At 37.8% G+C, this 25,753-nt stretch overlaps 1 protein-coding gene and 1 non-coding gene across 31 annotated transcripts in view, besides 2 other annotated features; one reads left to right on the forward strand and one right to left on the reverse strand.

Moving 5' to 3' along the window:
- Positions 1,700 to 2,419: a silencer, noted in NCBI's record as "silent region_19060". NCBI's record gives its function as "represses an Ori minimal core promoter by ATAC-STARR-seq in GM12878 lymphoblastoid cells {active_cell/tissue: GM12878}" and the evidence as "EXISTENCE:reporter gene assay evidence [ECO:0000049][PMID:35858748]".
- Positions 1,752 to 25,753, forward strand: part of FZD3 (frizzled class receptor 3) — an 80,047-nt gene continuing 56,045 nt past the window's right edge. For 12 of the 30 annotated variants that reach the window (NR_182067.1, NR_182069.1, NR_182070.1 and 9 more), the window contains exons 1-3: positions 1,752 to 1,883; positions 7,473 to 7,518; positions 10,210 to 10,742. Coding sequence is in view for 15 of the 30 variants with exons in the window: in NM_001412905.1 (NP_001399834.1) it covers positions 10,554 to 10,742 (189 nt within the window). In the remaining 15 variants the exon portion in view is untranslated. Of the gene's footprint in view, positions 1,884 to 7,472; positions 7,519 to 10,209; positions 10,743 to 13,076; positions 13,245 to 25,753 lie in introns of all 30 variants that reach the window. The other 18 variants (NR_182066.1, NR_182071.1, NR_182068.1 and 15 more) reach the window with 6 other exon arrangements.
- On the reverse strand, positions 12,656 to 12,722 carry MIR4288 (microRNA 4288). The gene has a single exon (NR_036250.1). It is a non-coding gene; the product is annotated as a microRNA 4288 (primary transcript).
- Positions 20,890 to 21,883: an enhancer, noted in NCBI's record as "VISTA enhancer hs1329". NCBI's record gives its function as "enhancer in: neural tube[4/7] | hindbrain (rhombencephalon)[4/7] | midbrain (mesencephalon)[4/7] | forebrain[4/7]" and the evidence as "EXISTENCE:transgenic organism evidence [ECO:0001131][PMID:17130149]".

Here is a 25,753-nt window from a genome sequence, read left to right on the forward strand (position 1 = left end):
ATTAATTACTTTTAAGAGGGATATTTCAAACATAAAGAAAGATTTGGACACTTTCATAAGAAACACCCTTGATTCTCCACGAAGATTTTTTTTAAATAGTACATTTGTATGTATTTCACAGATACAGTAGAAGCTTCTTTTGTCTCATTCCCAGGTTTCATCCCCCTCCCTGCCTGCCTAGAGGCAGTCATTGTCACAAAATTGGTGTGCAGCGTTTCTGTCCATTTTCATGCTTTTATTATATGTACGTTTGCCCTCATAAACATTGTATAGTATTGCTAGTCTTTTTTTTCTAAAGAGGCATCATCACTTACATATCTTGTGGTTTGTTTTTTTTTTTTCACTCAATGTTCTTTTTCTGCAATTTAGTCATGCTGATACAGTGGCGATCATTTCTACGTCATTCCCACCTCCCGATGTTGAGCTATTATGATGTGTCTCATTCCTGACAGTCTTTACAGGATGGTGTGTAAATTGAATAAAAATGCACCTCGCAGCACATCTCCAGAGGTTCCCCAGCTACAAGGGATCTGACACACACAGATTTCCCCCACGCTATCTGCCCCCTCACTCACTCTCCACAGAGGCACCGCTGGCTCCAGAGGATACACTGCCCTGCCTAGAATCAACCTAAGAATCAATATTATTTTAAACATTGTTTACTGCACAAGTATTTACTTATTAGAGAAACTGTAACTGTCATTTCAGATCTCATTTATCAGGCCTGTTCACACAGTTCACCTTCTGATGTGAAACTCTAGGTCTAAGTTCAACATTCGTCAACATTTACTTAACACGTATCAAGCGCCTTTCTAAAAAAAATTGTAAAACACACATAACATAAATGCACCACTGTAAACATTTTTAAGTGTACAATTCTAATAGTCCATTCACATCGTTCAATTTCTTTAAGTTCTATGTGCTACCGACAGAACAAAATGATGCCCATGAAATCCAGGTTGACGAGGAACGAAAAAGAAGAGAAAGAAAAGACAGGTTAAACGGTGCAGTGAAAAGAAAGACAGCCCTAGGTTGGGACGAGTCCAGGCCCTGTTGTTAAAACGCTGCATGGCTTTAGGTAAATCATCTAACCTTTGGGGGCGTTCTTTTCCTCGTCTGAAAAATGAGAGGTTCGGTTTAGATTATCTTTAAGAATTCTTTCAGCTCTAAAGCAGCTTATGTAGAAAAGGAGAGGAGAAACATTTCCTAAGGAGCAAAAATTGGGGCGCGCACCAGTAACGACCAGCGCCACCTGTTTCCTAAGGTCTTGGCCAAGAGGCTATGAACTATCCCGGGCGAGTAGCCTATTCTGTCCGCTACGCTGTTTCGCGTGGAGCTCTGCAGCAGGCCAGAGCTCCTGCACCCCATTCCACCCTCAGCATCCGGGGATCTGCCTCTTGAGCACCCCAAATCCCCAGGTCCGGAGGTCGGCACCTCTGGTTCTCAGACCAGGTGTAGGTGGTCCTGCAATCACACCTCCGCGCTGTGTCATCAGGGGACGGAGTGCATTGCGAGGAGGGCCCCGAGTGCATCTCAGATGAGCGCCTCCAGGGCTGGGAACGAGCACGCCGGAGCAAGGGAGCTCCAGGCGTCACTCAGGGCGAGAGGCAGAGAACAACGAGGCGCGCCGGGCCAGGCCCGCAAGCCCAGGATCCGGCAGGGAGCTTTCGGCCGAGCGTACTCAGTGCGCCTGCCCCGTGCGTGCGCGCGCGCTCGTGAGCTCGCTCTCCGGGCCGCGCGCCCCGGTGCTCGCGAAAGCTCGCTGTCGCTGGGAGGCGCGCGCCGGCGTTCCTCGGCCGCTCCGGGTACCTGAGGGACGCGCGGCCGCCCGCGGCAGGCGGTGCAGCCCCCCCACCCCTTGGAGCCAGGCGCCGGGGTCTGAGGTGAGCCCCGCGAAGCGTGTGGGCCCCTGGGCCGGGGCAGCGGGAGAAGGAGCGGCGAGTGTGGAGCCCGAGGAGGCGCCGCGCGGCTGCCTGCTGCTCCGCCTCAGCCCGCGCCGAGGAGCCAGCAGCAGCCCGGCGCCTCCTCCTCAGGGATCGTTCCTCTCGTCGCGGCCACAACAAAAGCCTTGGGCGCCGGACTGTGGCGGGCTGCGGAGCGGGGGCCCGGGCCCGCGGTGGCGGCTGGGGGCCTCGGGGACGCCTAGTTTGAGGCTGGGGGCTGAGGGCTGAGGGCTAAGGGGGGAGCTGCCCCGGGAGACTGTTAACCCTGTCCGCCCTGAGCCCGCGGCTCGGCAACCTGTGCGAGTGTGGACCGCGGTTCGCTCGCCTCTACCCCGGCTCAGACCCTGCGCGGCGGAGAGAGGGGCCCGGCCGGAGCCGGCGGCAGCGCGGGGTGCCGGGGGCCGTAGGCGGAAGACAATGCTCCGGGGGCTCCCGGCCGCCCGAAGCGCGCGCCGCCAGGCTCCCGGCCCCGGCTCGGGTCAGCTTCGGGCCCACCTTTGCCTGCCCACGCCTGAAAGTTTCCCCTCCCGTCCATCAGTTTGCAAAGTCCTTGCTCCCTTCCGCGAGCTTCCCCCGGCTGCCTCCTCCGCGGGCTGTGGGTTTGCCGTGGGGTGGCTGCTGCTGGATCCCCGAGGGTCCGCATCTGAAATGAAGCTGCTGTGAAATAGCCAGCAAGGTGAAGGAGCCTTGTGTCCTTTCAAGACATGTAAACATCTTCCTAGCGGTGTTTTACATCTTAGGAGTCTTGAGTTCGATCCCTCTGTTGTAAGAGAAGCCAAGGGTGCTTTTCTTGGCTTTGTTTTTAAGAACAAAAGCACGTGCCATGAATTGAGGCAGAGGAGTAGATTTCAGATTTAGAGAGACTGGCTCCATGAAGGAGGTCCGGCGGTTTGCCCAGTGTAGAATGACTCTTTGAATTTTGGTTCCCGTCTGGGTTGAGGGAGATGCAGCAGCAGCACAGCAGAGTAGCCGCATCAGTGACTGTTACGGGGAAGTGTTTAGATACAGCCTCATCTTAGAGAAGTAGTTCTGATCGGGAATGCTTATTGATGGGAATTGAGTTACTTTGTAAAGCCAATATGATATGAGCAAGGAAACAAAGACCTGACTACCCCTGGGGATGTTACCTCCTTCCCTCACCCTCCTTTAGTCCTTGGTGGTGTGCTGGTGCCATTCCTGCATTTTAGTCTGGAAAAAGAATAGAAGTCCTTAGTTCTATTATTAAGAAGTGGTTACTCCTGAAGATGATGCTTTCCGTCTTTACTTTTAAACAAATCAATACTATCTTTTTCCTCCAGAAAAAAGGACAAAAACCCACAAAGATAAAAAAAATTCAGAGTCGGAGAGCCTAGGAAAGAGGTGTAAGAGCTTGACTGGGTGGGGCTGGAAGGATAAAAGAGCTGAAGATAAAATATAACTAAGATGCAGCCTTTCTTCTACCATACCCCCCCACCCCATTGTTTGAAACTATTAGGAAAATAAGTAAATTACTGGTAAAGCCTATCATTCTACCCTCTCTTTCCTCCTACCCCTTTTCCCTCATCCACTACTAAAATTCTCTATCTCCATCTCTCCTAAATCGTCCCATTTATAAAAGGAGAAGGACAATGAGCTGTTTCCTCATCCTAGCTGCTCTATGCTTCTGAGCTTTATTTTGTGCTTTGAGCATTTAGGTGGCTATTTCTTGGGAGTTCCGTGATTGAGATATTTGAAGTAGAGAGGGCTAGGGGAATTTAATAGCAAAGTGCACATTCTTTCTTTGTATAGAACAAAGTGAAAGCTTTATCACTGGGGAAGGAGAGAGGAGTTTTTCGCTCACAATAAGTTATCTGTTTCCCAGGAAACAGACTTAAATTTCATGTTAGTTTGATAGTGAAACTCTAAGATTTTATAGTCAAAACTTTTTCTGAGCATGTGAGTTTGTTGATGTTAAGCTGCTGTTGACTTTCTTTTCCTTCAGAGACAGATAGTAGGAAACAATTCTTACCACTTCTTTGAGCGGTTTTGGCCTCAAGTTTTGTTTTTGTTTTTGTTCTTTTTGGTTTTTTTTGTTTTCCTATCCCCAGAACTCTAGAATTATGCATGATTAAAACTGCAGCTGTGCGCAAAAATAAAAAGAATGATTTTAAAAATATGTACTGGATAAATTATTCAGTATAGATTGGAGGAAAATGTGTGGTAGAGTCTCGAGGAAAGACATTAGATTTTCAGTAGTGATATTTCTATAATGTTAGGAACAAATGAAGTGTAACAGCTTCTTACTGGCTAGGAAAGAGTTTTACCTACTATGTCAAAAAATGAGTTTCCTCTTTTTGCTTTCCAATTCGTCATGTTGGGAACTATTGACAGTTTGGTATATTCAAGGAGTGTATTGCACGTGAAGTTTGAGATGAATGTAACTAGGCTATTGGGCCTGAAAACCAAATCCTGGTCCCCAGATTTTATCTCATTAAAATAATTCTGTAGTCAAAGCATGCAAACCTTACAAACTTGTTAAGAGGGGTGGAAAGCAGGGGCTTGGTATTAGAGAATTTTTTTGATAGCAGATTTAAGAGAAGCTGGGCTGAAATTTCAGCCCATTTTAAAGTCCAGAATCTATCTGTCTCTTAACTTTCCAGTTTTATTTTCAGGTTAATTTTTAAAGATCTTCTGTCTTCTTTAGTCTTAGTAATTAATAATTTCTAAATTGAACTGAATTTTGATGCCTACCATTCGTTTAAATTTTGAACCTAGATGGATTTACTTTTCCTCTGTGTGTGTGTTTTAAGCCTTAATCACTTAACACATTGGAAGATTAAGTTATTTGTTGTAATCAGTAGATGATGACAAATGGACTTTAAACATTAGATGAAGCAGGAAAGTTCAGAAAAGAGATACTCTGAGATTAATAGGAATCTAGGTCCTGTGAATTAAATATGAAGCTATATAAACTTTCTTGTAGCAACCAGTAGGCAAAGGGCCAAAGACTATATAGACTTTAAGAGAAGGAAAGTAACATTTGAGCAATGAGTGTACACTGAGTGTATATTTTGTCTAACAAGACAATAATTTCCTTAAGAAGCTCTTATTTAGAGATAGTTATTGCTAATCCTTGCAATGCGTTCTTGAAAACGTGTCTGAAAAAAGACAAAGAATATCCCTCCTGTTCGCTCTGTAGGCACTGTGTAACCAGCATTTACTTTGAAACAACCTTTAGATGATCTTTCTCAATTGGAAATGCAAAATGTTACCTGCATTTATCAGGTGTCAAGAAAATGAAATCTCAACAGAATGATGGAATGGAGCCCTTTCTGTAGAGAAAGTGTGAATTGGAATAGAGTTGCTGAACATAATCTTTTGTTGCAGAACCCCTTTGACAAGCCCTTAGGGCCCTCTTTTCTCATCATCCTTTCTTCTGGGATTCAGCCTGCTTTCCTCTTCACAGTTGCCACCTCCTGCGTTTCCCACCGAGTTCTTTGGGTCTGATTTTGCAGGCAGCCCGGGAAGACAGTCTTCCAAGATTGGAATCCCTTCCCTTTATTGCTGTCTTTCAGGACAAATACTTAGTTGATTTTATTTTAAAGACTTTTACTTTTTGTCATCAAAAGAAACCTGATAAATAATGGTTGGAAATATAAAATTCCTGATGTTATACATTCATAAAAATAGAAATGGGTAAGCTTTAAAGTATCTAGTCCTTTTTGTTTTCTGATGGAATGTTAACCAAGTAACTTAGTCCGAAATCAGCTTTCCAGATATTCTGTATTGCTCTATGGAGAAGTGAATGTGTCTCTTTTCCCATACAAAGGGCGTGAGCAACTGTTGCATAGCATTCACTTTTTGCAGGGCCCTGGCCCCTGAAGCTGCTCACTCCGATTATGTTAATCTAATAGGTCCCCCCCCTTTTTTTTTCCAGTTGATATACTACAGTTTCTTATAATAAAAAAAAAATCAGTAAGAACGCCCCAAATGACTGTTAACTTTTATTTAATGACTTGCTACATTTTGATAGGATCTCTTTGGGTCCAGAATCTTTGCTATGTCCTGCAAGTCTGGAACTTCAACTTACAGCTTTTCCATGGATGACCTTACCTTAGGAAAAATGGCATACTCACATAATTGTGATTAGAAGCAGATAATTCATTATGTTATTGAAGACATATTATTTGGAATGTTTATCAAAAGTTTTTATTTTTTTATTTTATTTAATTTTTTTGAGACAGTCTCACTCTGTCACCCAGGCTGGATGCAGTAGTACAGTCTCCACTCACCGCAACCTCCACCTCTCATGTTGAAGCAATTCTCAAGCCCCTCCTGAATAGCTGGGCCTACAGGCGCATGCCAGCTAATTTTTGTATTTTTAGTAGAGATGGGTTTTTGCCGTGTTGGCCAGGCTGGTCTCAAACTCCTGGCCTCAAATGATCTGCATGCCTTCGTCTCCCAAAATGCTTGGATTACAGGCGTGAGCCACTGTGCCCAGCCAGGAATGTTTATCAAAAGTTTTTAAATTGTGCATACCATTTGATTCAGTTGATTGGTTATCTGATTTTTTTAGTATTGAAAATCAGATTTTGACTCTTACTAAATTGATCATCACTGATTTGCTTTTCTTACTAGGTACAGTAGAGCAGTAGTGTATTCCTTGGCTTGTTGCTTAATTAGTAGTCAATAAACCAGTCATTTCACTAGTATTTTTTCTTGTCAGCCAGTCAGCACATATTTACAGATTTAGCAGAGTTAATTACTTCATACACAAAATAATGTACTATAGGTTCTTTCATAAAATTCCATAAAGCATTTAATATTTTATTTTTAAACAATCGAAATAGTTTTACTGTGTTACATGTACATATATATTTTCTGACAAAATGAGAGATATATACATATACTGTTTTGTAAACTGCCTTTAAATTTTATTTTTTATTTATTGTTACTATCTTACTGTATCCACAAATACAGGTTTATGCTCATCATTTTTAGTAACTATATAATATTCCATCATGTGGTTATACCATAATTTATTTAACCAATTTCTTATTGGTAGACTTTTCAGTTGTTACCAGCTTTTAGGGTTTTTTTTGTTATAAACAGTGTTACACTAATATTTTGGTTGTGCATCATGTGTACTTACGTGTTTACTTAGAATAATAAGATTTGCTGGATGAAATTGTGTACATTTTAAGGGCTTTTGATATAAGTAGCCACTTTTTTTTTTAAGTACCAACTAGTTTACTAATAACATTTGAAAATGTTGAAATATTGAAGGTGTTCTTTACCCTGTACTCCCACCCTATACTGTGTTCTATCATTATTGTTTTTTCCTATCTGGTTGGCAAAAAATCTTATCTCACATTTGCATTTTTTATTATTAGTGAAGTTGAATATCTTTTCATATGTTTCTTGGCTGTTTGTATTTCTTTTGTAAATTTATGTCCTTTGCTTATTTTTCTATTAAAATGTTATCCCCTATCTGCTTTTATTTTTAAAATTCATTTACTGTATATAATTACATAAACAATACCTTTATTCTTTTTAATTATTCTGTTCTAGGATAGCATTTCTCAAGACCTGACTTATGGAGCACTTGTAACCTGAGGTAATCATTAGAATGCATATCATTCTCCAGGATTCAGATTTCCAGGGGAATCCATGAATCTGCTACACTTTACGATTAGAGAACTGCTGTTTTGGGGGAAATGAAAATTCTTTAACACCTATACTTTACCTGTTTTCTTCATGTCTCACTGAATTCCACTGCTGTTTTTTCCCTTCTTTTAATAATCATAAACTGCAGTCTTGCTGTATCAAGATTCTTGTCCTTTCACAGCTTAACAGTAGATTTTACAAAAGCATCTTGGTACATGGTAATTTGAATGTCATAGTACATAAGGAAGCACTTTTATAAGAAGGTAGGATGCTTTACTTGCAAGTAAGGCAAAAGGAATAATCAAAAGGAAACCAGGTAAAATAGATGGAGTAGGCAGAAGTATAGGGGGACATTTCAGCTAGTTTTAAAGGCTCAGTGAGATATTGCTCAGTTTCTTCTTCAGGTTTTATGTGGTAGTCTTCTTTGAACCATTGATTTGAAACCCATACCTGCTTGAAAAATAGATTAGTTTAAATGAAATTTTTGAAATTCTTGTTGTTACTATATGCGTATTCAACAGGGAGTAATGTTCCCTTTAATTTTATTTAGTTGCAAGCAGATGAATATGCTGCATAAGTAATAAACTACAAAGACTGAACTTACATGGATGTTTTAATACTACAATCAAATAAAACTTTCAACAGTTACTTGACATATTTAGTGATATGCATAATTGTTACTGCGCTGCATGGTAATTAAGATAAATATGTTTTTAACTGTGGTTAATACCAGTTTTCTTTTTTTTTTCTGATGGAGTTTCGCTCTTGTTGCCCAGGCCTGGAGTGCAATGGCATGATCTCAGCTGACTGCAACCTCTGCCTCCCAGGTTCAAGCGATTCTTCTGCCTCAGCCTCCCAAGTAGCTGGGACTACAGGCGCCTGCCACCACGCCTGGCTAATTTTTTGTATTTTTAGTAGAGACAGGGTTTCACTATGTTGGCCAGGCTGGTCTTGAACTCCTGACCTCGTGATCCGCCTGCCTCGGCCTCCCAAAGTGCTGGGATTACAAGCGTGAGCCACTGCGCCCTGCCCAGTATCTGTTTTCTATAGGCAGATCTCAACATTTGTGGGGAGAAAAAGAAATATGGCAGGCCAAGAATCTGTTTCAGAAATTTCTGATGTAGAACATGAGGCGCTTTAGGGCTTTTTGAGCAGGGTTTGCTTTTACCTTAGTTTCCTAATTCTAGGGACCATAGACTTTTCTTTTCCCTTCTGTTAGTCAAGACCATCTACTAGAGGGAGAAATTGGGAAGATTCAGTCACTGTTTTACTTTCTCCAAATAGTTATCTGCCTAGTAACTGAAGCTTGGGACATGGAGTTCCCAGTCATTGATAGTTAATGCACAGAGGACAGTTTCTTTCCCCACTTAAGCCAAAGCAGTTCCAGGTCCCACAATCTAAGTTATCATAGGTGCTAGTATTTAAGTTGTCCTATTAGTCTGGGTCTTTGAGAATTTCTGAACCTGAATTTCTCTTTTCCTAACCTAGGCTCTCCACAACAAACATAAGACTATCCAATGCATATGAAACAAATTGAAATAAAAGCAAAGTTAACATCGTTACTAAACCAAATCAAAATGTGATAGCTTAGAATATACTTTTTTCATACCAGACCTGCCTTCCACTCCACCCACACCCTCTCAGCTGAAATTGAGAATCACACATATTTTTGCCCCTGGAAAAGTACATACAAGTCAGAAATTCTAAAGCTCTGTGGAAACAATAACTGGGAATTATTCTTATTTTTCCTGTGACTTTTTAGGGATGATTTCTATTCTCTGTGCAGCATGGCTGTGTGTAATGACCGTTCGTTGATGAAATATTTCTTAGTGCTACATCTGTGTTATTAAATTTTTGTACTGTCTAAAAAATAATATAATATTGTGAAGATTTCCTAATATTTTAGAACCTTCTATATGTCAGTTCAGTATTGGTTGATAGAGGTAGCATTTGTATAAACTAATTCAATGATTAAAATGTCTAACGCTTCATACTGCTTTACCATTTATAAAGTACTTTTGCATACATTATCTTATGATTCACTCATATCATCCCTGTGAGCTAGGTGGTATTGGAATCATTTTCAAGAAGAAAAATTCTAGGTACATAGAAGTTAAGTGGTATGTTTATATTCACACAGCTAGCAAGAGGCTTGAATCTGTATCTTTTGACTTACTTTTCAGACCACTTTCACAGATGCCTTCTGCTACATCAGTTAATACAAAAATATACTATTAAAGATTAAAACACATGCAATTTTAGTTCAATAATTTAGGTTATAAGCGTAATATTTATTATTTAAATAAAATTTAGGACAATAGCATAATAATTTTTCAAAATGAATCAATTATATATTGTGACGGATGAAAAACTGCCATTATACATGAGAAGTTGAACCATGTGTTATATAAGCAACTGAGGGATGAAATTAAATTTGCATTTAAATGCTGTTTAAGGATCATTTTAGTGTAGCTATAGCATAAATGATAAAGTAGAAAAATGATATCTTTATAAAGTACCCACATATTGTTAACTATTAGGTCAGTATAATATCTCTCATCAAAGATTTTTAATGTCAAGTCCATAATACTTTGAGAGGAAATGACTAATTTCTCCCATTTTTTAAAATAATACTTTTCAGATATTTCAGTTGAAGGAAGAAATAGCTCTTCTCCTAAGATGGAATCTGTGGTTTGGGAATGTGGTTGATCAACTTGATATGTTGGCCAAATGTGCCCCATGTAATAAAATGAAAAGAAGAGACAAGATGATGTCATTTTCCCATATTGTGAAACCAAAAACAAACGCCTTTTGTGAGACCAAGCTAACAAACCTCTGACGGTGCGAAGAGTATTTAACTGTTTGAAGAATTTAACAGTAAGATACAGAAGAAGTACCTTCGAGCTGAGACCTGCAGGTGTATAAATATCTAAAATACATATTGAATAGGCCTGATCATCTGAATCTCCTTCAGACCCAGGAAGGATGGCTATGACTTGGATTGTCTTCTCTCTTTGGCCCTTGACTGTGTTCATGGGGCATATAGGTGGGCACAGTTTGTTTTCTTGTGAACCTATTACCTTGAGGATGTGCCAAGATTTGCCTTATAATACTACCTTCATGCCTAATCTTCTGAATCATTATGACCAACAGACAGCAGCTTTGGCAATGGAGGTAAGACTTGATCTATTCTTTGACGTATCTTAGTAAATGACTCTTGTGTTGTCCCATCAGCCAATCTAATGAATGTGTTTGATAAACAACAGGAAAATAATATGCTATTTTAAATTATATCTTATAAATTTAAAAATGTATATGTTTTGCTTCAGACTCTAATAGATTGAAGAATTCACATTTGGTGAATGTTACTCTTATATTTTAGACATTATACTTTTATAAAGAAATTTGAAACATCAGAACATGGGAGATAGCAGCCATTCAGAAGTTTAAAATTTAAGAATAACTCCCAAGCAGTGAAAAAGTTTTTGTCAATGCGAATTATCTGTTCTTGATCTCTCAGAATTTTATGAAAGTTTGCTGCCTTATTTGAATTTTTCAGTGGTAATTCTTCAGACATTTCTTAATTATTTTAGTTTAGAAACTATTTCAAATTTAGAAACTATGGACACATTAATTGATATAGTTAATAATAGGTTTAAATAAGGGTATATCTGTCTATAATGGTTTTAGAATTGAGGACAGGGATATATATACCAGATAAGAACTAGCAGGCAGTAAGCAGTGGTGGTAATGACCATAGGCTTTGAGGTAGACAAACCTGGGTTTGAATTCTACCTCTACCACTTTCTAGCTGTATACTTTGGCCACGTTATATGAACTTTCTCACCATAGTTTCTTTGCTTGTAACTTAGAGACTTCAGTAAGGTACAAAGTGAAAATCCATGTATAGTACTTGGCGCATAGTAAGTACTCTATAAGTGATAGCTTTTACCGTTAATTCATATTCTCATATTAACGTGGTTACATAACATAATTTAGAGGGAATGTTTGATACATTACTCTTCAGCCTATTTCCATAGCGCTTTCAGCAAATGGAAGCCTACATGTTTTGGAATTCTTCATTTTATAATAAAACCGAAAAGTTCATCATTTTAAGGGAGACTAACCTAAGTCTAAGAAAATTTGTAAGATTATTATTCATAGATTTTGAAATAAGGAGGGCATCTTATATATTCCAAATATTTGAAAATGCTGTAGAGGTTGAACAAAACATTTTTTGCTTTTCCTCTGAGTACACGAGGTCTAAGTGGTTGAAGAGAGAGAATTGGTATAGGCTATCAGATTAGGATATATAAAAATGGGTATTGGTTTAATACAGTAAGTTGGTTCCAGGCATGGTAGTCTTTGCTATGTATTAAAGCTATCAATTTCTCACAGAAAATTGAACTAGAAACATTTTTATTTCTGGTATCATTTTAAATCATAACTCCTTTGGGAAGCAAATAGGTTAATAAGAAGCAGGTCATAAAGATGTTTGTCCTGACTTGGGTTCAACTTTTGGCTCTGCCATGTAGTAGGTTTAAGACTTTGGACAGGTTACTTAACACTCCTGATCTTTGTTTTCTTCATTTGTGAAAAGGCAGTATAATGATACACCTTGAAGGGCTGTTAGGATTAAATAAGAGATTTATGAAGTAGCTAGCACAATGCATCATACGCAATAGGTGATTCACAAATATTAATTCTACTCCAAATTCCATTTCTAAATCATCTAAAGGGAAGTACTAGAAACACCATGTATTTGCTCCAGTGAATTTGCATCCCTCATTGTAGGTTCATGGGGCATTCATTCATAGTGATAGCATGATAGGCTCTCTCTGACTTCTCAAATATGCACAAGTAGTCTAGATATTTCAGTGACAATGGGGTTGCCTCTGTTTGAATTTCAGACACTGACATTCTGGGGAGAGCACCTAAGTGAGTAATAGTTTCTAAGAGAAGGCTCTAATGACTTGAAGTAATGTTGGGAATAGTTGCATATTGCATGTTTATCGTATCAGGACAGTGATGCCACTGACAGAAAGAATAATCAAACACAGTTTGAGAGTGTAACGTTTCTTTAATAGCAAATGACGTGGAAACTCAGCAGACAACACTGCCTGCTCAGTGCTGCTGATGACTCTCCACCTCCATCCCTCTACTGATCCAGGAACCAGCTTAGCAGGCACAAGTAATTGGAGCAAACCCAGCACACTCTTGAGTGTTTGCTGTGAGACTGAATGAATTCAAAGACAGTTTCCTAGGTGTAGCATCTTTCAGCAGGCCCCAGGCTTTAAGCCTGCCTAGAGTCCATTCCTTTTTTCTTTTTTTATTTTTTTTTGAGACATGGTCTCACTCTGTGGCCCACACTGGAGTGCTGTTGTGCAATCATGGCTCACCACAGCCTCAACCTCCCAGGCTCAGGTGATCCTCTGCCTCAGCCTCCCAAGTAGCTGGGACTACAGGTGTGTGCCGCCACCCCTGGCTAATTTTTTTGTATTTTTTTAGAGACAAGGTTTTGCCATGTTGCCCAGGCTGATCTCGAACTCCTGGGCTGAAGCGATCCACCCACTTGGGCCTCCCAAAGTGCTGGATTATAGGCATGAGCCACCGCGCCTGGCTGGAGTCCATTCCTTTACTGTTTTGTGAGTTAAAAGGAGTGCCTGGAACACAATGGTATGTGGGCAGTAAGCTAGATTAGCCACAAATAGGAGAAAGAGCAGAATCTGGGTTATTTTAAGTTTTATTCACAATCAACAAGTTGGATCTTCTTACATTGTGTCTACAGGGTACATACTCTGTACTTTTATTGAGATTGGGACATGTTTAAATAGATAAGTGTCAATCCATTAAGTTAGAAAAGAAGGTTCTTGCTAATATGTTTATTTCTTTATCTCTGCCTTCCAAAACGTGCACATCAATATGCAAACACACATGCTACGTTTTTCTAAGTTGTTAACTTGACGTTCTCTTTTCCCCTGTGTATGAGTAGCTTTTGATAGGAAAAAAATGCTCACTTCTGAGCCTTCCAAACCATTTTGAGCTGTCCAAATTGCTAAGTAAATTTTTGGGAACTGTTCAGCATGGAGCAATAATCAACAAATGTCAGTAGCAATCTTTACTGAGCCACCTATTATCAGGTATTTACGACTCTAGTGGTAATAAAAGAGATCTGGGCAGGCTTTTCCTCATACTGAATAATTGAACCAAATTGGCTAGGACGGGAACAGATTAGTGGAAGAAGCACTAGAATAGGGATAGGAGACTTGTATTCTGTCACTAACTAGGTTTGAGACCTCTTTGTGTTGATTTCCAATAGGAAGTAAATTTTTTTCCTGCCATTTTATAGGGTTATTGTTAAGATCAAGTGAGATAAGTGGCATTTATGTTAAAGAATTTTGAAAAGTTAAAGTGCTGTGTGAATACAGAGCATTCTTCTTTGTTGCCTGTCACCCTGTTTTTTCATTTCAGTTAGTGTGTGGAACGAGCAATCTTTAATCTCTTTGGGAGGTTGATTGCTTGCCCCTCCCCACCCCATATATAGAGGAAAGTAGGCCTCTCTATAGGATAATCAGAGGAAAAACTCCTGGAATGGTTTGTGTTTGCCTCCGTTTCCTGTTTTCCTTTGTCATTCTCATTAAAGATTTTTTTATGATTTAAGGTTTTCTTATAATGGGAGCATGGAAAGCTGGCAGTGAAATAATCCTAGTAGGAACACAGAGCCTAAAAGCCTGAACATCCTGTATCTTTTATGGTTCATTAAGAACAGAGTATGTTTCAACCAGTCTCTCAGTTATCCAAACTCAAATTTGAGCTTTTTACTAAAAAACTTTATTATGGAAATTTCCATTATATACAAATAGAATAATATAATGAAGTGCCATGTATCCAGCATCCAGCCTTAAACATTACCAACTCATAGCTAGTCTTGTTTCATTATCACTGCATGCCCTTCTGGGTCACCTTGAAACAAATTTCGTATATCAAAATTTCATCCATAAATATTTTGTTATATACCTCCGAAAAGTAAGGTATCTTTCAAAATATATGAACACAATACCTTTATTCCTTTATCAGTGTCAAGTATCAAATTAATGTTCAAATTACTCTTGCATATTTCACAATTTTTTTTCATACTGGCTTTTTCTAATCAGGGTTCATACATTGCATCCAATTGATATGTCTCTTAAGTCTGTTTTAATTTATAGGTTTTCCTTTCCTGTTCCCCTTTTTTCTTGTGATATATTTATCTTATAGAGTTTCCCATAGTCTTTATTTTGCTGATTGCATCCCTGTGGTGTTGTTTACCGTGTCTCTGTCTCATTTATTTTTGTAAACAGGCACTGTAGAGGCTTGATTAGACACGAGTTTGGTTTTTTATTGTTGTTTTGGAAGGAATACTTCATAGGTAGCTAACATACTCCTGCCAGGAGCACATAATATTAAGTTGTTACTCTTTTTATAAATGTTAGCAGCCATTGATGATTTCCTAGACCAATAGTTTTGTTAGGGGTTTGCAAAATGGTGATACTCTAATTCTGTCACCCTTTCTTCATTTCTTAGCTGGAATATTTGGAAACTTCTCATTGACTATTGGATTACTTTCATATACAGTTTATATAAGAAAGATAGGATAAGTGCTTGCATGTTCCCCCGTTATTAGTTTTTAGAATAATTAGTTGATTCCCAAGCATCCATCAAAGGTGACCAGTGAGGGTTTTTGTTTTTTTTTTGGTTTAAGTTTCATTGTGAACTCAAGGATTTTTTTTTTTTTTAACATATTTGATGTTTTAAATCTATCACAGTGATTATTGAGGCTCAAAATATTCCATCTTTGGTAGTGGGAGCCTCTACATGGTAGCTCCTGAGTGTTTTGTTTTTGACACAAGGTCTTGCTCTGTCACCCAGGCTGGAGTGCAGTGGAGCAATCATAGCTCACTGTAGCCTGAAGCTCCTAAGCTCAAACAATCCCCCTACCTCAGCCTCCAAAGTAGGTTCTACAGGTACATGCCATCATGCCTGGCTAATTTTAAAGAACTTTTTTTTTGTAGAGGCAAGATCTCACTATGTTGCCCAGGCTGGTCTTGAACTCTTGGCCTGAAGCTATCCTCCTGCCTTGGCTTCCCAAAGCACTGGGATTACAGGCATGAGCCACTGCGCCTGGCCCTCTTTAGTGTTTTTGACACCACCCTAGTGGTGTTTAACAGTTTCTTTTCTTTCTGGTGTGATTCAAGCTCGCTTCATAAAATTCCGCGTCAAACTCTGAATCATCAATTTCTTTAGGAAGCTCTGGTTCCTTTTATTTGGAAATGATGCTTAAGAGATCACTATCTGGGTGCTAAGCCTAGTGATACTAAGTCATTTTTAGGCCTTTTCATGAACACAGCTAGGGAATACTTTTTTTTTTTTTTTTTTTTTAAGGGAAAGTCCATCATGAGTTTATACTGATACTTGCGATTCAAGTAATATTGCAGGGTGTTGTTTGTTTTTGAGACAGGGCCTGGCTTTGTCACCCAGGCTGTAGTGTAGTGGCACGATCACAGCTCACTGCAGTCCTAATCTCCCGGGCTCAGTTAATCCTCCTACCTCAGCCTCCTGAGTAGCTGGGACTACAGGTGTATGCCACCATGCCTGGCTAATTTTTGTGTTTTTTGTTTGTTTGTTTGTTTGTTTGTTTGTAGAGACAGGGTTTCACCATGTTGCCAAGTTGAGTCTCAAACTTTTGTTCTCAAGCGATCCACCTGCCTTGGCCTACCAAAGTGCTGGAATTACAGATGTGAACCACCATGCCTGGCCATGGATTTTATTTAGCATCTTTAAATTCATTTTTGTTTCTCTACTCTCTTATCCTCAAATTTATTATACACATACATTGTATAGTTTCAGAATAATATTAGCAATATTTTTACTAACAATGATTACAGCAAGCAGTTTAAGATTTCTTTATACTTCTTTTTGTCCTTTAGGGACAAAGATTTCTTTATACTTCTTTTTGTCCTTTAGGGATGTATATCAGCAAGGATGTACAATCAAATTATTGTGTTTTAAGTCACTGAAATATTTTTTCTTCATGTGGTTAAACACAATACACAGTTAGGTTCATATGTTTTATTTTGATTTTGAGGAATGACTTTAATTTTTTAATTTAAATTTATTTTATAATTATACTTCAAGGTACATTCAGAGAACTCTAGTTTCTATCCCTCTGTCACCTCTATCTTATTTTTTCCTTCCACCTAAAGGCAGTCATTTTTTAAAAGTTTTTATCCTTCCATTTAAAAACCTTAAATATAACACTTATATAAAATATTTATATATCTATATTCTTTCACCTTTTTTGATACAGTTATAACGTTTGTTTTCCCCACACTGGTTTTTTTTTCCACTTAATATATTTCAGATATTTCATAGTAGCATTTATAGATATTCCTCATTTTAAAATTTTTAAAAATTGTGGTAAGATATGCATAATACATTTAAGTAACATAATTACAATTCCATCTCCAGAGTTTTCTCTTCTTCCAGAATTGAAAATCTACACTCATTAAATAACAAATCAGTCCTCATTTTTTCTTCTCCCTAGTCCCTGGCAACTACCGTTTTACTTTCTTTGCCTCTGAAGTTGACCACTCTATGTATTTCGTATAAGAGGAATCACACAGTATTTGCCCTTTTGCGACTGGCTTATTTTATTTAGCATAACGTCCTCAAGGTTCATCAATGTATCATGTGTTGGAATTTTCTTATTTTTTTAAGGCTGAATAGTATTCCATTGTAGGTATATAACACATTTGGCTTATCCATTTATCCATCAGTGGACACTTGGGTTGTTTCTACCATTGGAGTATTATGAATAGTGTTGCTATGAATATAAATGTACAATCTGAGTTCCTGCTTTAAATTATTTGGGGTTTGTAGTCAGAAGTGGAATTGCTGGGTCATATGTTAATTCCATGTTTAATTTTTTGAAGAACTGTCAAAGTGTTTTCCATATGGTGGTACCATTTTACATTTCCACCAGTAATACACAAGATTCCAATTTCTCCACATCTTGGCTAACACTAGGTATTTTCTGTTTTTTTTGTTTTTGTTTTTTTGTTTTTTGTTTTTAATAATAGCTGTCTTCAGGAGTATGATGACATGATCCTTATTTTTTTATAGCTAAATTTTACTCCATTGTATTGGATATACAGTATTATTCAATGTCTGTTGATGGACACAGGAAACAACTGTGTTTCTGGTCTTTTACTGTTACAATGTTGCAAGTGTGTTTTCACATTTTGACTAGTGTATTTTTGGGATAGGTTCCTAGAAGTATAAATGTATGTGTTACTTTCCTTGATATTGCCAGACCTCTCTATAGGGGTTGTACTATTTTGCATTCCCACTAGTAATGTGTGAGAGTATCTGTTTCTTCACAGCTTTACCAAAATAATATGTTGTCATGTTTGTTTGTTTTAAACCAGTATGATAGGTGGGAAATGGTGTCTCAATGATTTTCATCACCTACTTTACAGAGACAGAAACACCTTCATAATTATTGATACATGAGGGTTCTTAATACCAGCAAGAGTATGAAATTCAGAGACAAAGCAGTTCAAGCCCAAGTTTTGCTACTTATCAACTGTGGACAGTAACAATATAATATCCATGTGCCATCATTAGAATAGAATTGGTTATAAGGATCAAACGAGATATGTGAAAATTGTTTTTTAAAATAACAGTGGGCCGGGCACGGTGGCTCAGGCCTATAATCTGAGCACTTTGGGAGGCCGAGGCGGGCGGATCACCAGAGGTCAGGAGTTGGAGACCAGCCTGACCAATATGGTGAAACCTCATCTCTACTAAAAATACAAAAATTAGCCGGGCGTGGTGGTGGGCACATGTAATCCCAGCTACTCGGGAGGCTAAGACAGGAGAATTGCTTGAACCCGGGAGGCAGAGGTTGCAGTGAGCCGAGATCATGCCACTGCACTCCAGCCTGGGCAACGGAGTGAGACTCCGTCTCAAAAATAAATTAATTAAATAAAATAACATTGCCGGCAAGGTGCGGTGGCTCATGCCTGTAATCCCAACACTTTGGGAGTCTGAGGTGGGCGGATCACTTGAGGTCAGGAGTTTGAGACCAGCCTGACCAACATGGGAAAACCCCATCTCTACTAAAAATACAAAAGTTGGCCGGGCACAGTGGGTCTACACCTGTAATCCCAGCACTTTGGGAGGCCGAGGCAGGCGGATCACGAGGTCAAGAGATCAAGACCAGCCTGGCCAACATGGTGAAACCCCGTCTCTACTAAAAATACAAAAATTAGCTGGGCGTGGTGGCGTGTGCCTGTAGTCCCAGCTACTTGGGAGGCTGAGGCAGGATAATAGCTTGAACCGGGAGGCGGAGGTTGCAGTGAGCCGTGATTGCGCCTCTGTACTCCATCCAGTCTGGGTAATGGAGTGAGACTCCATCTCACAAAAATAAAAAATAAAATAACAGTGCCAATCCTTGCCTAGAGGATCAAATCCAAAGCATAATAGACTTTCACAAATTGGCTTCTACTTACTTAGCATTCCTTAAGTCTATCAACTCTGTAAATGCCATCTCTGCCTGGAAGGCTCTTGTAGTATCCCCTTTGGTAATATCTTAATTTTCAAGGCGTGGTGTGGATGTTATTTCCTTAAGAAATCTGGGATGCCTAGAAGTTAGTGACTCTCTTCTCCATACTCACCAGTGTGTTTTATATGTACCTCTATTTTTGTGTGTATATTATTATGTTGGAATTGTTCACGTTTTTATTCCTTCTGCTAGAATTTAACCCCTTCAAAGTAGAGCTTGTCTTTATTCATCTTTGTATGCCCAGTACCCGACACAGAACCTCACACATAGTAACTGCTAAATAAATGTTTGAATTAATTCATGAACTTTATAAACCCTAAATCCCTTAGAGGTGGCAGTAGTAATTGATTTTTGTTTTAGTGCTATACCTAAGCTCTTAATCTCCTAGGGTTATAAATAGTTCTGTGGTTGGTGGGGATGGTGATGGTAATTCCAGTACCAAGGTTACCACATACTTTTGAATACTAGTATTTTACTTTTCTTTTTTTCTTTTTCTATTTTTTGGGTGGTAGGGGACAGAGTGTCAAAGTGACTTGAATTCAACATTATGTGTTTGTACTTATAAGTGGTGTAATTAAGCAAAGAAAGCAACACAGCTTTCTCATTTCTAGGCCTTTCATGTTTCTTCTGCATGCATATTCTCCATCTTTGCTTATCAAAATTCTGTTGTACTTGATCCATTGTTAGGTTGAAAAAATAAAGTAAGGTAGATAGCAAAACATTAGTATGGTATCATCCTGGTTTGGTTGAAAAACATATATGCATGTTCATTCAGAGTGAGTGATCGGGTGGAATTTTCACCAGGACCAACATTGGTTGTTCCTGAATTAGTAGTTTGTGTTTTCTGTTCTTCATTTTTTTTTTTAATTATACTTTAAGTTCTAGGGTACATGTGCATTTTCTGTTTTTTCTGTAAGGAACACATTATGCTTTTAAAATAGTAAAACTAGTAAAGAAATTTTATTTTTAAAAAATTTCAACTGTCCTTTTTTGCTCAGCTCCTGGTGCAGGGTCTAAGATTTAGTATTTATTAAATATATTTTGATTGGATAAGTACAATATAGGGAAGAACTTGGTAAATACCGCAAAAAAGCAAAGTGCTAAGGTGATTCAAAGAGAGAATATGTTGAAGGAGTCATGGAAGGCTTCAAATTGCAGATGGTATTTAAATGAACTTTGAAAGACAAATTTTTTTACTGTGGTTTTTATTTTAAGAGAATAGTATAATGTACACCCATATAACAATAATTATTAACATTTTATGGATAGGCTTTTTAGAAAATGAAACTTCTTTTACTACATTTATAGAATTCATGGTGTTAATCTTTAGAATACATGCATTATCAAACATTTACTTTATTATTTTTTGTTGAGATTAATATTAATAAGGTGGTTTTCCCTAAACAAACATCTAGCAAAGTGGCCTAAGAAGCCTGGTGTGAGGAGAAACCAGCCAGGAATTAAACGTCTAAATACAAGTAGTAGATAATTGCATTTAGTCATTTCAGACTTTAGGACAAAAAAATAGCAGCTTCTGAAATTTTTAATTTATTTTCTTGTGTGACAGATCACTATAAAGTGATTTACTTGTCTTAAATTATTAAATACATTGGAATTTGGTTTGTAAAGCTTTATCTTTTGAGACTTAATTCAGAACTGTCCATGATATTGGAAATATTAAAAGTTTACTTCCTATAGGAAAGTCAGATTTATGGACCTCTCTGGGAACTCTGCTTTGACTTGTGAAAACACATATTCTTCCGTGATAATGAGAAATTTCTGTAAAAAACTCACTGAAAAAGTATTGGAAGGTATTTAATATGCTATCACAGAACATTTTTAAAAATTAAGGTTTGAACAGGAAAATAAACCTATGGGATTAAAGGCGTTTTTACAAACCTAAAGTTTTTTGTTTTTTTATTTAATACAAAATAATTCTTAAAGTTTGGACCTTTTCTCATTAGGCATTTTATTGTTACAGAAAGGGGATTTTTAAAAGGTGTCATTTTTAGTCACAGTTATTCTGAAAAGTTGTTTTTGAATAATTTCTCATTCTAAGGGATCTGAAATAGCCATTTTTAAATTTTCAAGACCATTCCACATTTGGTTTTATGTTTAATGAATTTAGTCATAATACTCCCAAACCCCATAGGGTACAGTTTCTATGGTTACCAGACCCTTTGTAGAGTGACAAAGGTTGGAATTCTGATTCTCGTGAGTCAAATTTTGGCCTTTGACTGGGTCCCCTCTGCACATCCTTGCTAAGCTTGGGCTGTTGCTATGCTTGAAGGCTTGTCAGCTAGCAGGTTCCTATGGTAACAGGAATGGAAATTTGAAAGAAGAAAGAGAATGGTAGCACAAAGGCTTGGTTGATTTGAATTTGAACAAAGAATGGAAGGTTCCCTGTAGTGCACCTTTGTTGTAGAAACCAGAAATTTAATTTTAGAAAGTTACTTTCCAGTTGTAAACTTCCTATACCCTGGTCTTGATTTAGTGAACAAAAGTATTATGGTTTAGGGAAGTACTCAATAAGAATCTTTATAATTCAGTTAGCTAAAGTTCCTTTTCTAGACTTCATAGAGCTTTCATAGTATTTCTTATGTTATACATTTGTTCTCAGATTTTTAGTGTTCAGGCTACCTCATTTAATTTTGATTTTGCTGAGGTCAAAAATTGTTAAGGATAAAAAAAAAATCAGGGCAATTTGCTTATTTGAAAAATATTAATATTTGTATTTGTTTTTATGTAACAGCTTTATTGAGATATAATGTGAGTACAGTAAACTGCCCTCATATAAAGCATTCAGTTTGATGAGTTTTGACAGATCCTGTGAAACCATCACCACAGTCAAGATACAGAGCATTTCCATCACCTGAAAAGCTTTCTTGTGCTGCTTTGTAGTCACCCCGCTCTCTACTGCCTGCTCCAAGCAACACTGATCTGCTTTCTTTCATTATGGATTAGTTTCCATTTTCTAGAGTTTTGTATAAATAGAATCATGCCGTATCTACTTCTTTAGGTCTGGTTTCTTTCACTCAGTATAATGATTTTGAGATTCATCTGTGTTTTGTTTTGCTTTTTAAAAACTTCATTCCTGTTTTAAAAACTGTCTCACTTGGCAGTTGAGAACAGAGAATTTAGCAGGGTTCCTCCTTATGCCCACCAAGTAGGCCTGCTACAGCTCTATTAACTTGCACCTATTCCCCAATCCCTTTCAAGCTATCATTTATTAATTGTGTTCTGTATGCTAACTTTATCTTTTTACTTATGGGTTATTAAGACCATTTTACAGAAGAGGAAACTGAAGCGTAGAGAGATTTAAGTACAACAAATTTGTTAAATGCAAGGGCTCTGGATAAGAATGCCAAGATTTGCCTTAATCTTGGGTCTATCTTTGTAGTTGTGTGATGTTGGATAAGTTACTTCGTTTTCTGTATCTCGTTTTCTTCACATGTATTGTAAAATGAGTTCATAATAATGGTACTTACCTTATAGGATTGTTGTGAAGGTTAAATGAGATAATATGTGTAAGGCATTTTGAACAGTGCTTGTGTTAGCATTGGAATGTATCCAAGTCACACAGCACCAAAGTATGTTACCAGTGGCAGTGAATCCATACGGGTCTGCAGCAACCTCAGTTCTTGTCTCCTCAGAAGAATTCAACTGAGGGACGTAAGGCAGAGTCTCGGGAGACTGAGACAAGTTTTAGAGCAGGAGTGAAAGTTCAGTAAAAAGCTTTAGGGCAGGAACGAAAGGAAGTAAAGTACACTTGGAAGAAGGCCAAGCGGGTGACTTGAGAGATCAAGTGCACGGTTTGATTTGACTTATGGTTTTATATGTTGGCATACTTCTGTGTCTTCTCTCCTGAGTCTTCCCCTGGGGTGGGCTGTCCGCATGCGCAGTAGCCTGCTAGCACTTGGGAAGGGGCTGCATGTACAGTGTGTTTACTGGAGTTGTATGCATGCTCACTTGACGCATTCCTTCCTTACCAGTCTAGCCTTCCTAGAGGAAGGTCATACACCAGTAAAACGCTGCTGTTTTGCCTCTTAGCATGTTTGAGCCCACTCCCTCAGCTCCTGAGATCTTATCAGGAAGCTGCTGATCACCAATTTCAGGTTTTTCTTATCTGTTGGGAGACTGCCTTTCCCTGGCATCAGCTGAAACCAATTATTATTTTAGAGAGGCTTGAACATCAAAGATTTTCTTCCGTTCTGTTGGTTGTCCGTTCACTGTCCTGATAGTGTCCTTCCATATACAAAAGCTTTTATTTTTGTTGAAGTCCAGGTTGCCAATTTTTTTCTTTTCAACTTGTGCTTTTGGTTTCATATCTAAGAAACCACTGCTAAATCCAAGGTCATGGAGATTTGCCCCTGTGTTTTCTTCTATGAGTTTCATAGATTATGCTTTTATACTTAGGCCTTTGATAAATTTTGAGTTGATTTTTGTATATAAGGTAAGGTAAGAGTCTAACGTTATGCTTTTGCATATGGATTTTCTCTTGTTCAGTATCTTTTGTTGAAGATACTTTTTTCCCATTGAACAGTCTTGGCATCTTTGTTGAAAATGAATTGGCCATACATGTGATGGTTTAATTCTGGACTCGTAATTCTATCCCATTAAGCTACATGTCTGTCCTTATCTAGTACACACTTTTGATTCCTATAATAGCTTTGTGATAAGTTTTGAAATTGGAAAATATGCGTACTCCAATTGGTTCTTTTTCAAGATTGTTTTGGCTATTCAGAGTCTCTTGTAATTCCATATGAATTTTAGGACCAGCTTTTCCATTTCTGCAACAACAGAAGGCCGTTGGGATTTTTGAAGGGATTACACCGAATCTGTAGGTCTCTTTTGGGAGTATTGCCATCTGAACAACATTATCTTCCAAACCATGAACACAGGATGTCTTTCTGTTTATTTAGGTCTTCAGTTTCCATCAACAATATTTTATAGTTTTCTGACTTACATGACATTGGATAAATTTATTCCTATTTATTATTTTTGATGCTCTTATAAATGGAATAATTTTTTATAATTTTCTGTTGGTGGTTTTTAAAATTTTCATTGATCTACTTGGGTTTATATCTACAGTCTTACTATTTGATTTTAATTTGTTCAAACTATTTTGCATTCTTTTTTTTCTCTCTTATCTTGCCTTCTTTTTATTGTTTGTTTTCCTCTCTGTTACTTTGTTAGTTGTGCATTCTTTTATTGTTTACCCTAAAAATTATGATGTGTACTTTTGACTTATAATATTCTAATAGAAATAATTACTTCAACCATTCCCCCATTAGTGTTCTTCTGACGCTCCACCTTTTCCACTTTACTATAATGCATGTTAATTTTACATGTATTTTAAGATGATATTATTTTTGTTGGCACAGAGTATTCATTTATATTTTCCCACAGTCATCCCTTTTGTTGCTCTTAATTCATTTTTAATTTTCATCTTAGATCATTTCCCTTCTGTCTAAAGAACTTTCAAGCATTTCTTTTAGTGCAGTTTGTTGATGGCTAATTTTTCTTTTTTTGTCTATCTAAAAGTATATTTGCCTTCATTTGTAAATAATATTTTTACTGGCTAGAGATTATAGTTTGCAGTTATTTTCACTCAGCTTTTTTAAATAAGCCATTCCATTGTTATGTGGTTTTCTGAAGTCAGCTCTGAAAGTTACTGTCGCCTCCTTGAAGGTAATATGTCTTTTTTCCACTGACTGCCCTTAACATATTTTTCTTTGGTTTTCAACCGTTTAAATAAGATACGCCTAGCTGAGGTTTTCTTGTATTTATCCTTCTTGCGGTTTGCACAACTTCTCAAATCTGTAAGTGGTTATCTTTAATCAGTTTTGGAAAATCCTTAGCCATCATCTTTGTGTATATTGCCTCTGCCCCGTTCTTACTGATCTGTCCTTTTGAGATTGCATTTACATGTGTTAGATCTTTTTTGTGTGTTTTACATGTTTCTTACCCTTTTTTCTGTATTTTTTGGTCTGTGACCTTCTTTCTGTTTGAATATTTTCTATTGCCTTGTTTTCTGTTTTGCCAGTCCTATCTTCTGATAGCTCTAATAAGTTCTTAATTTCAGTAATTATATATTTCAATTATAGAATTTTAATTTGATGCTTAAATTCTAATTTTCTGATGAATTTTTAATCTTTTATTGAAGATATTAGTCATTGTTATATACAGTCTTGTCTGTTAACTCTAATAGCTGGATCACCACATTTTTTTATTTTTTATTTTTTGGTTTTCAGTTATATCACCCTGTCTCTTGGGATGCCCAGTAATTTTTTACTAAGTGCTAGACGTTATAAAATATTAGTGAGATCCCAGATATGTTATGTTGCTATAGAAAAGATTAATCCTCTTTTCTGCTTAGCACATAAATGCAATTAGCACTTTATTTTTATTTATTTATTTCAGAGACAGGGTCTCACTCTGTCTCCCAGGCTGAATGTAGTGATGTGATCATAGCTCACTGCAGCTTTGATCATAGCTTACTGCAGCCTCGAACTCCTGGGCTCAAGTGATCCTCCTGCCTCTGCCTCCCAAGTAGCTGGGACTACAGGCATATGCCACC

This window comes from Homo sapiens, chromosome 8 (genome assembly GCF_000001405.40).
Source record: "Homo sapiens chromosome 8, GRCh38.p14 Primary Assembly".
Lineage (NCBI taxonomy): Eukaryota > Metazoa > Chordata > Mammalia > Primates > Hominidae > Homo > Homo sapiens.